A 15,063-nucleotide genomic window follows, 5' to 3' on the forward strand; every position below is an offset into this window, starting at 1 on the left:
AAAATCACAATCCCGGCAAGTTTTTGTATATAAACTCACAAACTGATTCTTTTTTTTTTTTTTTTTTTTGAGTCAGTGTCTCACTCTGTCACCCAGGCTGGAGAGCAGTGGTGCAATCATTGCTCACTACAGCCTTGACCTCCCAGGCTCAAGCAATCGTCTCACCTCAGCCTCCCAAACAGCTGGGACTACAGGCACATGGCACCACACGTGGCTAATTTTTACAATTATTTTTAGTAAAGATGAGGTCTCACTATGTTACCCAGGCTGGTCTTGAACTCTTGGGCTCAAGCAATCCTCAGCCTCCCAGAGTGCTGGGATTACAGGTATGAGCCACTGTGCCTGGCCTGATTCTAAAATGTATACGGAAATCCCATGATAGTAGAACAATCTTTTTTTTTTTTTTTTTTTTGGGATGGAGTCTCGCTCTGTTGCCCAGTCTGGAGTGCAGTGGTGCAATCTTGGCTCATTGCAACCTCCACCTCCTGGGTTCAAGCAATTCTCTGCCTCAGCCTCCCGAGTAGCTGGGATTACAGGCACCTGCCACCACGCCTGGCTAATTTTTGTATTTTTAGTAGACACGGGGTTTCATCATCTTGGCCAGGCTGGTCTTGAACTCCTGACCTCGTGATCTACCTGCCTCGGCCTCCCAAAGTGCTGGGATTACAGGCGTGAGCCACCGTGCCGAGACAACAATCTTTTTTTAAAAAAGAGCAATCTTTAAAAAAGAACAATCTTTTAAAAAGGTATATGGAAATCCCAGAATATTTAGAACAATCTTTAAAAAGAGGGAAAAAGTTAGAGGGCCTACACTACCTGACTTCAAGACGTAGCTATAAAGCTATCAACCCAATGTGGCATTGACAGAAGGATAGACACATACATGAATGGAACATAATAGTCCAAAAATAGACCCACATGTATATACAGTAAAATAATTTTTGACAAAGGCACCAATGTAACAATGTGGTGAAGAACAGTGTTTAACAAAAATTCTGGGACAACTGGAGATTGTTTGTTTGTTTATTTACTTGTTTAGAGACAGGGTCTTGCTCTGTCACCCAGACTGGAGTGCAGTGGTATGAGCTCAGCTCGCTGCAGCCTTGACCTCAACTGGGCTCAAGCAATCCTCCCACCTCAGTCTCCCAAGTTGCTGAAACTACAGGAGTGCTCCACCATGCCTGGCTATTTTTGTTTGTTTGTTTGTTTTTGGGACAGGATCTCACTTTGTCACCCAGGCTGGAGTTCAGTGGTGTGATCTTGGCTCACTGCAGCCTCGACCTCCTGGGCACAAGCGGACCTCCCACCTCAGCCCCTGAGTAGCACTGGGACTACAGGTGCATGCCACCACTCCTGGCTGATTTTTGTATTTTTTGTAGAGACAGGGTTTCACCATATTGCCCAGGCTGGTCTCAAACTCCTGGACTCAAGCAATCTGTCCGCCTCGGCCTCCCAATGTGCTGGGATTACAAGCATGAGCCACCACAGTGCCTATTGTTTTTTTTTTTTTTTTTTTTGCATTTTTTATAGAGACGAGGTCTCACTATGTTGCCCGTGCTGGTTTTGAACCCCTGGGCTCAAGGGATCCTTCTGTCTTCTCCTCCCAAGATCCATTTAGAAAAAAATGAATCTTGACCCTTACCTCACACCATAGATAAACATTAACTCAATGGATCATAGACATAAACATGAAGAGCTAAAACTTCTAAAAGAAAACAGATGAGAAATCTTCAGAACATTGAGTTGGCAAAGATTTCTTAAGATACAAAGAGCACTAACTAAAAAAGAAAAAAATGATAAATTGGATTTGATGAAAACAAGAAAATTCTGCCCTTCCAAAGATACCATTTAAGAAAAAGATTTCAGAGCTATGTAAAGCATTATTTAAACATACACAGGACATTAAATTTTTTATAAGAAAAGGCATTCTGTCTATAAGTTTCAATCCTTCCAAGTAAATAAACATACATATCAGCTTAATATTTTTGTTTAAGTGAAAAAATGGAGTGTATAGCATAAAAGGACCTTTGTTGAGATTCTTAACTCCCAAGACCAGACTAGACCTGATGACCTATTTATCTGAAGCAATCAGTAAGGCAATCAATGGCATTATAGTCAGAAAGACTCCAGATTATGGTCTGAAAGAAAAACAGAGGTCAGAGAAACGATGTTGAGTATCTGGTCCAGCTGTGTAAAGTGAGACTATAAGTGGGGAAAATGAATCACCAAGCCTGAGGCTTGGCAGATTGGGAACAAAATGTAAAGGGGGAAACTGAGGGGCACAGAGAGTTAGGATGATTGAGCAGAGAGTCCCAGAGCAATGTCAATGGTGATAGGGCCTATTTCATAGCTGCTGCCTCTTTGCAGCTTAAAACTGCCACACTGGATCAGACATATGTGACCTAAGATCCTATAAGATCTGGCTCAGCTTAAAATCTGTATCTGTCAAGAAAAACTGACTGCCAGTGATTTCTGTCTGTCACACACCATTGCTTGGACAACTGCCATTGCAGTTCTCTTGGGCTTTAATCTTTTCTATTTTTTTTTTTTTGAGACAGGGTCTTGCTCTGTTGCCCAGGCTGGAGTACAGTGGCATGAACATAGCTCACTGCAGCCTTGACCTCCTGACTGAAGCAATCCTTCTGCCTCAGCCTCCAGAGTAGCTGGGACGACAGGCATGCACCACCACACCCTACTAATCTTTTAATTTTTTGTAGAGACAGGATCTCCCTATGTTGCCCAAGCTGGTCTCAAACTCCTGGACTCAAGCAAGCCTCCTACCTCGGCCTCCTGAAGTGTTGGGATTACAGGCATGAGCCACGGTGCACAGCAAGAGCTTTAACCTTAATGACCATTCATTCTCTACCCCACATTACCTACAACTGATACAGGTATGCTAGCATTAATAAGCTGCATGATTACCTTTTCCATTTCGTCTTTCTGGGCACAAACATAGTCATATGGTCATGTGACTGTGTTTTAACTAATGGAATGTGGGCGGAAGTGACATGTGCCATCTCCAGGCATGGCGATAAAATGGCCCTTGTGTCCTGTCGCACACTCTTTCTTTGTTCATCAATAAACTGAATGCAGAGGACCTAAGGGAGGACTCCAAGATGGAAGAAGCCTGTATCTGTTTCCATGGTAGTCGCTGAAAACACCCAACCAGACTGTGCCTTTGGGGGCAAGTAAACCTTTATCATAGCAGTAAGCCACTCAAAGTTGGGAGTTCTTTGTTCCATCAGCTAGCATTACCCCCAACGACTTCAGGTCTGAAGAGCTCCTATGATAGCTTTCAATATAGCAGGAAGTGTTTGGGATGATAAATCGAAGCAGGATTTCCAGCCAGGTGCGGTGGCTCACGCCTCTAATCCCAGCACTTTGGGAGGCCGAAGTGGGCGGATCATGAGGTCAGGAGATCGAGACCATCCTGGCTAACACTGTGAAACCCCGTTTCTACTTAAAAAAAAAAAAAAAAAATTAGCTGGGCCTGGTGGCGGGCGCCTGTAGTCCCAGCTAGGCGGGAGAATGACGTGAACCCGGAAGGCAGAGCTTGCAGTGAGCCGAGATCATGTCATTGCACTCCAGCCTGGGTGACAGAGCGAGACTCCGTCTCAAAAAAAAAAAAAAAAAAAATCGAAGCAGGATTTCCATAAAAGTGTGAAGGTGCCACAGGGATCTCAAGGCCAAGCTGGTGAAGTGGGACAAAGATCACATAGCTATTAATACGTGGATGGTAAGGCAGGATTTCAGTGGAGGTCTGTCTGGTCCCACAGCCTATGCACTTTCACTCCTCTACCTTACCCCAAACAAGGAGGTGTTTATATGTTTTGAGTGATGATCACAACGATAATAGACTCTGGGCTTCTGTGTAATTTACTCTCTGGTGCATCGGCGCTATATATTCCTACAGAACTTCCACCATTTCCCACTAGCCAGTGAGGTTGAATATAATGACACTCTGTAATCCTCATTTTTATGTCAACATCATCCCCAAGCGCTCAAAGCAGGGTAGTTAAAATTATTATTTTCTCCAGCTTGCAACCTGAATGTTTACCAGTCTAGGTAAAAGGCTTTTGTAGGTCTTCGTTCTCCATCCACTTGTACCTTCCTATCTTAACTATTTAGTCTCAGAAGCTCTATCCCTCTCTTACCTGAATAACTGCATCTACCTCCTCCCTGAAATGTTGAAGGAGCGGGAGACTAAAACCTCCTTCTATACCTACTTTTCCCTTCTATAAATGGAGAGCATGATACCTATCTCATACAATTGCTGTGAGGTTTTTGTGTTTTGTGTGTGTGTGTGTGTGTGTGTGTGTGTGTGTGTGTGTTTTGAGATGGAGTCTTGCCGTTGTTGGCCAGGGCTGGAGTGCAATGGCACAATATCGGCTCACTGCAACCTCTGCCTCCCAAGTGCCAGTAATTCTTCTGCCTCAGTCTCCTGAGTAGCTGAGATTACAGGCACCCGCCACCATGCCTGGCTAATTTTTGGATTTTTTAGTAGAGACAGGGCTTCACCATGTTGGTCAGGCTGGCCTCGAACACCTGACCTCAGGTGATCCACCTGCCTCAGCCTCCCAAAGTGCTGGGATTACAGGCATGAGCCATCACGCTGGGCCTTTTTTTTTTTTTTTTTTGAGACAGAGTCTCACTGTTGTTGGCCTGGGCTGGAATGCAAAGGTGCGATCTCAGCTCCCTGCAACCTCTACCTCCCGGGTTCAAGTGATTCTCATGCCTCAGCCTCCTGAGTACCTAGGACTACAGGCTTGTGCCACCATGCCTGGCTGATTTTTGTATTTTTAGTACAGACAAGGTTTCGCCATGTTGGCCAGGTTGGTCTCAAACTCCTGACCTCAAATGATCCGCCCATCTTGGCCTCCCAAAGTGCTGGGATTACTGGTATGAGCCACTGCTCCCGGCCAAGATTATTTTAAAAGGCATGACACACTGTCTCTCGTGCTCCACCATGGTAAGACGTGCTTGCTTCCCCTTCACCTTCCGCTATGATTGTAAGTTTCCTGAGGCCTCCTAGTCATGCTTCCTGTTAAGCCTGTGGAACTGATGCAATTGAAGACACTGGTTATTTTATCAAGGTTTTGACTAGAATGGCATGCTTTCAGATACAAACAGACTGTTCTAAGAAACCAAAGTTGACTTATAGGGCCAATAAAACTCCTCAGGAAAGCTGGCCTTATACCTTGTCTACCCAGTCCCTGTATAGGGTTCCTGATCTGTGGGGTTTTGCATGTCTGACCCCCATGGCTCCACCTGGACCTCCCAACCCCACTCCTGTGGCCCCACCCAGAAGGAATTCAGCTCACAGGAGGGCAGTTTAGACTCCCTATGATTTCATCCGCCCCAATCAATCAGCAGCAAGCCCCAGTTACCTGACCTCCCCCCTCTTTCCCCAAACTGCCTTTGAAAAACTCCTAACCTAGGAACTTTGGAGGAGATGATTTGAGTGCTAACTCCATCTCCCACATGGCGTGGTCAGCCTTGTGTCTGTTAAGCTCTTTCTTTATGGGGGAAAAAAAAAAGCTTGGCAGCTTATTATTTTTCTGAAAAAATAGCGTTTTAAACATCTGACTACAGAAATACATGCTCATTGTAGTGGCCAGGTGTGGTGGCTTATGCCTGTAATCCCAGCACTTTGGGAGGCCAAAGTAGTGGATTACTTGAGGCCAGGAGTTCGAGACCAGCCTTGTCAACATGGTGAAACTCCATCTCTACTAAAAATACAAAAATTAGCCAGGCATGGTGGCACATGCCTGTAGTCCCAACTACTCAGGAGGCAGAGGCAGAGAATTGCTTGAAGCCAGGAGGCAGAGGTTGTAGTGAGCTGAGATCATGCCCTGTGCTCCAGCCTGGGCAACAGAGGGAAACTCGTTCTCAAAAAAAAAAAAAAAAAAAAAAAAAAAAAAAAAACAATGCCGGGCACGGTGGCTCATGCCTGTAATCTCAGTACTTTGGGAGGCTGGGGCAGGCAGGTGATCACCTGAGGTCAGGAGATCAAGACCAGCTTGGCCAACATGGGGAAACCCTATCTCTACTAAAAATACAAAAATTAGCCAGGTGTGGTGGCGTGCACCTGTAATCCCAGCTACTCAGGAGGCTGAGATGGGAAAATCGCTTGAACCCAGGAGGCAGAGGTTGCAGTGAGCCAAGATCTCACCACTGCACTCCAGCCTAGGTGATAGAGCAAGATTCCGTTTCAAAAAAAAAAAAGAAAAGAAATGCATGCCCATTGTAGAAAAATTATAAACAAAAGCACCAGAAAAGAAAATTCCCAAGAAATACTTTCATCTTTTTGAATTTATCCTTCTAATCTTTTTTATTGTCACCAGGTTGGAGTGCAGTGGTGCCATCTCGGCTCACTGCAACCTCCACCTCCCAGGTCCAAGCAATTATCCTGCCTCAGCCTCCCAAGTAGCTAGGACTACAGGCGCCCATCACCATGCCGGGCTAATTTTTGTATTTTTAGTAGAGACGGGGTTTCACCATATTGGCCAGGCTGGTCTCGAACTCCTGACCTTGCGATCTGCCCACCTCGGCCTCCCAAAGTGCTGGGATTGCAGGCATGAGCCACCGCGCCTGGTCTTTTTTTTTCTTGAGATGGAGTCTCGCTTTATCACCCAGGCTGGAGTGCAGTGGTGTGATTTCGGCTCATTGCAACCTCTACCTCCTGGGTTCAAGCGATTCCCCTGCCGCAGCCCCCCAAGTAGCTGGGATTACAGATGCCCACCCCTGTACCTGGCTAATTTTTGTATTTTTAGTAGAGACAGAGTTTCACCATGTTGGCCAGGCTAGTCTCGAACTCCTGATCTCAAGTGATCTGCCAGCCTTGGCCTCCAAAAGTGCTGGGATTACAGGCATGAGCCACCGCGCCCAACCGGCATAATTTTTAATAGTGGCTCAGTATCCATTGCATGGAGTGGGGGTCATGATTTTTTTTGTTGTTTTACTTTTTAAAAATTGTTTGTAGAGACAGCGTCCCACTGTGTTGCCTAAGCTGGTCTCAAACTGCTAGGTTCAAGTGCTCCTCCCACCTCAGCCTCCCAAAGTGCTGGGATTATAGGCATGAGCCACTGCGCCAGTCCTGTATTTTGATTTTTTTTAAGTAACCCCCTAATGTTGTACAGTTTGGTTGTTTCCAGTTTTTCACCATCAATAGCAATAAACATCTTTGTATGTATCCTTCTGCTCATATCCCTAATTATTTTTTTAGCACTCACAAGTAGAATTTTGCATCTAAGGAAGAGCTACATTGTCAAGACTTTTGCTATTCATTGCCAAATTTCATTAAAAAGTTGTACAAATACACACCACTGGCAGCAGTGTATGAGAATGCTATAATAAAGGCTTTGGGCCAAGTTGACAATTATGAGCAAAAAAAAAAAAAAAAAAAAACAAAATCAAGAAGATAAGTGTTTGCTAAAGGCTCACCCTACGCCAGCTGTGTTTATTTGTTGAACTCTATCACCATGTTCCTTGGCCCAAACACTGAAGGTCCTTTAGATTCTTAGTTTATTTAGTGCCTCTTTCAACACTCTAGTACTTTGACCCCAGTCTTATCTGAAGGAAAGAGGATTTCTGGTAAATAGTTTCCAATTTGGAAACTCAACCCAAGCACTTCCATCCCTCATCCCAGTGTGGACCACCTCTGTGGTTTTAACTGCTGGGGATGAGTCAGAAAGTGATGCTGGCTGAGTTGGAACTGAGAACTGTAATGCTTATAAGAAATAATAGAGAAGGTTTGAGGTGAAAAAGTCATGTTCCGAGGTACAAAGGAAAAACCAATAACAACCCAGAGTTTGGAGTTTCATTCTGCCCTGCTCTGATAATATCACTATGGTGATGTTCTCCATAAACAATTGCAAAATAGCAAGATGAAAAGGAACAAGCAAGTTCCACCCAGGCGATCTGGAGTTATTTTAGGGATCAAGGCAGTGTCATCTGGGGTAAATATGGAATGCAAAATCTGTTCTTGTAATAATCATCCCCTTCTTTTGTGAGGCTGAACAAAGACCTGGCAAATCAGTCGTTTTGTGCTCAAAGAAGCACTGACCCAGTGTTCTCAGGGCCAAAGAGAAAGTGAAGCCAAAACAATGGAAATGATGGTTAATAACAGATGCTGGAATTATTCTTCTCACACCCATGGACTCTGAGACTCCACTGAGCCTGGTGTGGAGTCCAAGCGGGTGGAACAACGGTGATGTTCTTGGGTAGGGTTGGCCCAGTTGAGAGGCTGGGATCGGGACCCCAGGTTGCTGAGCTCGGTTGCCTGCCCTTGACCTTGATTCTTGGGCCAGAGTCGGTGGAGGGAAGCATCTTCAAGGCCACGGTCTGTCTCTGGGGCATCACCATCTGCTGCAGATGACATTTACTGCTCCTATCCTCATGCTATTCTCTTTGAACCCCTGACTCAGCGAGCCCCAGTCCAAAAAGCAGAACTAGCTATTTTTTGCATCAAGAAAAAGATGTCAGGCAATACACTTGCCGAATTCTTTGCTGACCCTGAAACGCTTCCTCTTTGCACTTAACTCCTGTTCTTCCTTTATTCTCTTTGCTGCCTTCTCTTCTAGACCACTAAATTGCAAGCGCCGCTATCTTCTCCAATGAAGATGCTCAAGGGAAGGGCTGTACTCAGCCATGGAGGCTGGCACAGTGCCTGGGGCACGCAAGTTTCTCCATAAATGTCAGCTCATAGGAGGTGAATTCAAAATCCCATGCCTACCCTAAAATGGACATTTCTCCGGCAGATCTGAGACTGAGGCTATTTGTTCATTCATTCAACAAATATTTATTGAGCACCTACTAGAAACCAGAATTTGTGCTAGGGACTGGAGCTGTAAGGGAAACAAGATTCCAGGGCCCTGTCCTTATGGAGATTACATTCTTGTACACTGTAATGCAAGTGGTGAGCACAGCTTCCATCTTGTCACAGTGGTGAGCACAACCTACTTCTCTGACCATTGGACAAAAAATTGCACTCCCCACTTACCTTGTCTTATTTTATATTTCTTTGTTGCTGATCTTTCAGTCTTTGCATGCAAAAATGTATCCTCTTTGAGGGTGCTTTATGATGTTCATTGCTGAATCCCAAGCACCTAGAACCACTTCTAGCATCCAGCAGGTGTGTTGGTCTATTTGGGCTGTTATAACAAACTACCATGGACTGAGCATTTTATAAACAGCAGAAATTTACTTCTCACCGTTCTGGAGGCTGGCAAGTCCAAGATCATGGCGCCAGCAGATTTGGTGTCTGGTGAACGCCCTATTCCTGGTTCACAGGTGGTGCCTTCTCACTGTGTCCCCACATGGTGGAAGGGGCTGGCTAGTGCCCTATGGTCTCTTTCATAAGCACACTGATCCCAATCCTGAGGTCACCACTCTCATGCCCTGATCACTTCCCCAAATGCCCACCTCCTAATACCTTGGAAGTGAAGATTTTACATATGAATATTAGGGACACAAAAACATTCAGACCATAGCAAAGTGTTCAACAAATACCTGTCAAATCAATTTATTTAATAAACTCTGCAATCTTCTAGAACTTTCTAGCACAAATCTCCAGGGAATGAGCTGAGAACTCCAGAAATTCATAACTACAAATTACAACTACCCAGGACTTTCCAGATTACAAAGGAGGGAGGTGCATGGGAAGGAGCCTTCGCCTCTCTTGAGTCCTGGGTTCCTTCTTGTAAAATAGAAACAATAACACCTACCTTTGGGGCCTGTTGTGAGGATCGGATGAAGTAATGGGTGGGAATTACTCAGCCCAGAACCTGGCAAGCAGTATTTGCTCCATGCCTGGGGACAGTGCTATTGTTTATTATTTGAGCGTCCCAATTCTGTGTGGACTTTATTATTAGCTTGGCCATTTAACTGACACAGAAAACAGGACTAACGGGGGTATACTAATTTGCCGAGGGTAGCTCAGGAGGGACTAGAACCCCAGCTACATACACCCATGGGGCTGAATTCCAAACACAATGCCTTATCTACCACCCCAGGGGTGCCACCTCTGGAGGGAAAACACAAGGGTGCCTCCTGATTCTTCCAACCCCCGACTCCACCACCCCATCCTCTCCCACCATTGTGTTGTTCTCCATTCTCAGTCTACCCCACCCATCACCAAGGGCACAAAAGAGCTCAGAGGAGAAGCAAGCTTGAGGGGAAGACTGTGCATTTGGTTAGTAGGAGCAGGACGAATCCCCCTCCCGCCCACCTGCAGCTTCCTGTGATGCTTCCTCCAAGTTCCCCACAGCCCCCTCTTCTCTCATGCCTTGGGGACCCTCAGCCTGCCAGCCTCTAAGCTGTCGGGGATTCTGATCCAATCAGAAGAGATGGGCTATGAGACCTGTTAGCATAAACAGATCGGGAAATCTTCTTGAAACAGAGAGGTCCTTGAAATTGAACTTCCTAAAAATGATTATGGTTTTTTTTTTTTTTTTTTTTTTTTTTTGGAGACAGAGTCTCGCTCTGTCACCCAGGCTGGAGTGCAGTGGCCAATCTCGGCTCACTGCAAGCTCCGCCTCCCGGGTTCACGCCATTCTCCTGCCTCAGCCTCCCGAGTAGCTGGGACTACCGGTGCCCGCCACCATGCCCGGCTAATTTTTTTGTATTTTTTTTAGTAGAGATGGGTTTCACCGTGTTACCCAGGATGATCTTGATCTCCTGACCTCATGATCTGCCCGCCTCAGCCTCCCAAAGTGCTAGGATTACAGGCATGAGCCACTGCGCCTGGCCAAAAATGATTATGATTTTTTTAAAAAGTAGGCCAGGTGCGGTGGCTCACACGTATAATCCCAACACTTTGGGAGGCTGAGGCAGGAGGATCACTTGAGGCCAGTGTTACTGGAAAGGGGTCCCAATCCAGACCCCAAGAGAGGGTTCTTGGATCTTGTGCAATAAAGAATTCAGGGCAAGTCCATAGAGTGAAGTGAAAGCAACTTTATTAAGAAAGTAAAAGAATAAAAGAATGGTTGGCCGGGCGCGGTGGCTCACGCCTGTAATCCCAGCACTTTGGGAGGCCGAGGCGGGTGGATCATGAGGTCAGGAGATCGAGACCATCCTGGCTAACAAGGTGAAACCCCGTCTCTACTAAAAATACAAAAAATTAGCCGGGCGCGGTGGCGGGCGCCTGTAGTCCCAGCTACTCGGGAGGCTGAGGCAGGAGAATGGCGTGAACCCGGGAAGCGGAGCTTGCAGTGAGCCGAGATTGCGCCACTGCAGTCCGCAGTCCGGCCTGGGCGACAGAGCGAGACTCTGTCTCAAAAAAAAAAAAAAAAAAAAAAAAAAAAAAAGAATGGCTACTCCATAGGCAGAGCAATGGTATGTGCTGCCCACCTGAATGTACTTATAGTTATTTCTTGACTATACGCTAAACAAGGGGTGGATTATTCATGAGTTTTCTGGGAAAGGGATGGGGATTTCCAGGAATTGAGCGTTCCTTCCCGTTTTAGACCATAAAGGATAACTTCAGAACATTGCCACGGCATTTGTAAACTGTCATGGAGCTGGTGGGAGTGTCTTTTAGCATGCTAATGCATTCTAATTAGCATATCATGAGCAGTGAGGTCAACAAGAGGTCACTTTCATCATCATTTTGGTTTTGGTGGGTTTTGGCCGGCTTCTTTACCACATCCTGTTTTATCAGCAAGGTCTTTGTGACCTGTATCTTGTGCCGGCCTCCTATCTCATCCTGTGACTAAGAATGCCTAACCTGGGAACGCAGCCCAGGAGGTCTCAGTTATTTTACCCAGCCCCTATTCAAGATTGAGTTGCTCTGGTTCAAATGCCTCTGACACTAGGAGTTCAAGACCAACCTGGGCAACATAGTGAGACACCATCCATACAAAATAAAAATTTTAAAATTAGCTGGGCATGGTGGCATGCCTACAGTCCCAGCCATTGGGGAGGTTGAGGCAGGAGGATTGCTTGAGTCCAGGAGTTTGAGGCTGCACTTAGCAGTGATGGCACTACTGCACTCCAGCCTGGGTGACAGCATGTCTAAAGAAAACAAACAAAACGAAAACTATAATAGCGTTAGCTGTAATTCATTAAATATTTCCATGGTGCTGGGTAGTGTGAGAGGCAATTTATAAATGTCCAGCTCTGATAACAACCAGGAAAGGCAGGTAGTATTATTCCTATTTTATAGATGAAAAAGTTGAGGCTCTGGAAAATGAATGATCTTGTGGGCCGGGCATGGTGGCTTATGCCTGTAATCCCAGCACTTTGGGAGGCTGAAGCGGGTGGATCACTTGAGGTCAGGAGTTCCACACAAGCCTGCCAACATAGTGAAACCCCATCTCTACTAAAAATACAAAAATCAGTTGGGCATGGTGGCACGTGCCTGTAGTCCCAATTACTCAGGAGGCTGAGGCAGGAGAATCGCTTGAACCTGGGAAGTGAAGATTGCAGTGAGCCGAGATCGTATCACTGGACTCCAGCCTGGGCGACAGTACGAGAGAAAAAAGAAAGAAAGAAAGAGAGAAAGAGAGGGAGGGAGGGAGGGAAAGAAAATGAATGATCTTGTCAGAGGTCATGTGGCTACTAAGTAATGAATGCTGAGATTTAAACCCGGTCTATCTGCCCTCAAAACTCATGCTCCTTCTGCCTTACAAAAATGGTGGGGGGTGCAGGGGAAGTTATGTGGCACCCATCCTAGCGTCACTCTGAAAAAAATTGGAAACATCCTAAAAAATACAAAAATTGAGGATGGTTATGTGATTTATAGTGAGTGTAGTCAGTAGACTATTGCAATGACTAAAAACGATGCAAGGGGCCGGGCATGGTGGCTCATGCCTATAATCCTAGCACTTTGAGACGCTGAGGTGGGTGGATCACCTGAGGTCAAGAGTTCAAGACCAGCCTGGCCAACATGGTGAAGCCTCATCTCTACCAAAAATACAAAAAAATTAGCCAGGCATGGTAGTGGGCACCTGTAATCCCAGCTATTCGGGAGGCTGAAGCAGGAGAATTGCTTGAACCCAGGAGGTGGAGGTTGCAGTGAGCCAAGATCGCACCACTGCACTCCAGCCTGGGCGACAGAGCAAGACTCTGTCTCAAAACAAAACAAAATAAAACAAAACAAAAACAAACAGAAAAGCTAAGAAGTTTTGTGCTGTGGCAGTATCATAGCCGATGAAGTTTATCCAAGGCACAATTATTGCTAATTGAAAACTTTACCCAATACCCCACCATGACAACTTGCAACATATTCAGCATTGGCAATTTTTTTTTTTTTTGAGACAGAGTTTCACTCTTGTTGCCCAGGCTGGAGTGCAATGGTGCAATCCCGGCTCACTGCAACCTCCACCTCCCGGTTCAAGCGATTCTCCTGCCTCAGCCTCCTGAGCAGCTGGGATTATAGGCACGTGCCACCATGCCTGGCTAATTTTTGTATTTTTGCAGAAATGGGGTTTCACTGTGTTGACCAAGCTGGTCTCAAACTCCTGACCTCAAATAATCGGCCTGCCTTGACCTCCCAAAGTGTTGGGATTACAGGCATGAGCCACTGCGCCTGTCCAGATGACTTTTCTTTAGTACCTCTCTAAACCTGGAGACTCACCTGCTTCTAAGCCGTAGTAACTTTTCCTGCCCAAGTAAGCACTGGCTATTATTCTCATCTACTTCTGTGCCTGTCTGCTAATGCCATGCTCCAATCTGGAGCTGCTCTATTCAATATGGTAGCCATTGCCCCATGTGGATATGTAAATTTAAATTAATTTAAATCAATAAATAATTCAGTACCTCAGTTCCACTAGTCCTCTTCCAAGTGCTCAGTAGTCACATGTAGCTTGTGGTTACTCTGGTAGACAGCACAGATATAAATATTTCCATCAGAGAAGGAAGTTCTGTGAGGCAGCAATGATCTAGCATCTAGGCTGAAGACCATTTTTAGAACTCTAGCTGAATGAAAGATTCCCCAGTTCCTTGTACTCAGTGGATGGACTGGACAATGACCTTTCCATTCTGAGATTTTACTCTCTCATCCTTTCTCTACTCTCTGGAAAGCTCAAGGGTCATGGAAAATTAAGTATGGCCCTCCCCACTAAAAGGTAGGTCTCCCAATTATAGCTTTTTAGAAGAGCTTTACAGAGCAAAGGTTGATCAAGCAGGGTGGAACAGTGAGGAAGGTTAATTAGAGTAGTGTTTTTTATTATAAAGGTTATCAACAGAAGCCACTTACTGATATCTACTCTGTGCCAGGTACTCCATTTTGTCTCAGTTAATCCTTAAAGAAGTAAACAAACTTGCCCAACTCCATGAGCCAGAATCCATAGCTCCAGTTACCAAAGCTCATGCTTTCTCTATTATACTAACTTGCCTCCTGAGAGATTCCAAATCTCATAGAAGGATTCTGATTGGCCCTTCTTGAGTAACAAGCCTATCCCTAGGACCAGCCATATTGGATGAAAAGTTTGGCTACTATGATTGGTCTGTCCCAGGTCACTGTCCACCACTGTACTGGTAGACAGTGACTCAGGAAACTTACAATCTTGAAGAACAATGGAGGTACAAGTGTGAACATCAACAATAGCATAAAAAGCACACACAGCTGGGCTTGGTGGCTGATGCCTATAATTCTTTGAGAGGTCAAGGCAGGTGGATTGTTGGAGTCCAGGAGACCAACATGAGATTTGGATGGGGATGGACTCCAGCGATCCACCTGCCTCGGCCTCCTAAAGTGCTAGGATTATGGGTGTGAGCTGCCAAGCCCAGCCTCATGTGCTTTTTATGTGCACTATTGGTTGATGTTCTCACTTGTACCTCCATTGTTCTTCAAGATTGTAAATTTCAGTCCCCTTAGAACCACCTAAGATCAGGCCAGGCATGGTGGCTCACGCCTGTAATCCCAGCACTTTGGGAGGCCAAGGTGGGCAGATCACGAGGTCAGGAATTCGAGACCAGCCTAGCCAACATAGTGAAACCCCGTCTCTACTAAAATTACAAAAATTACCTGGGCATGGTGGCAGGCTCCTGTAATCCCAGCTACTTGGGAGGCTGAGGCAGGAGAATTGCTTGAACCGAGGAGGCGGAGGTTGCAGTGAGTCG

The 15,063-nt window shown here is 45.7% G+C and overlaps 2 long non-coding RNA genes and 1 pseudogene across 5 annotated transcripts in view, besides 1 other annotated feature; 2 read left to right on the forward strand and 1 right to left on the reverse strand.

Moving 5' to 3' along the window:
- LOC105376819 (uncharacterized) overlaps positions 1-15,063 on the forward strand; it is a 47,268-nt gene that overhangs the window by 12,953 nt on the left and 19,252 nt on the right. For 3 of the 4 annotated variants that reach the window (XR_947020.3, XR_001737920.2, XR_947019.1), the window contains exon 1: positions 2,749-2,891. This is a non-coding gene — a long non-coding RNA (uncharacterized LOC105376819). Of the gene's footprint in view, positions 1-2,717; positions 2,892-15,063 lie in introns of those variants that run through there. The other variant, XR_007065522.1, reaches the window with a different exon arrangement.
- On the reverse strand, positions 12,418-15,011 carry LOC105376818 (uncharacterized). The gene is made up of 3 exons (XR_947018.1): positions 14,969-15,011; positions 13,759-13,816; positions 12,418-12,456 (listed from the first exon to the last, which is right to left on the reverse strand). It is a non-coding gene; the product is annotated as an uncharacterized LOC105376818 (long non-coding RNA).
- On the forward strand, positions 13,121-13,261 carry RNU4-28P (RNA, U4 small nuclear 28, pseudogene; annotated as a pseudogene).
- Positions 13,232-13,393: a silencer, noted in NCBI's record as "fragment chr1:19837198-19837359 (GRCh37/hg19 assembly coordinates)". NCBI's record gives its function as "represses an EF-1alpha promoter that drives an FKBP-Casp9 reporter gene in an ReSE screen in K562 erythroleukemia cells {active_cell/tissue: K562}" and the evidence as "EXISTENCE:reporter gene assay evidence [ECO:0000049][PMID:32094911]".

This window comes from Homo sapiens, chromosome 1 (assembly GCF_000001405.40).
Source record: "Homo sapiens chromosome 1, GRCh38.p14 Primary Assembly".
Taxonomy (NCBI): domain Eukaryota; kingdom Metazoa; phylum Chordata; class Mammalia; order Primates; family Hominidae; genus Homo; species Homo sapiens.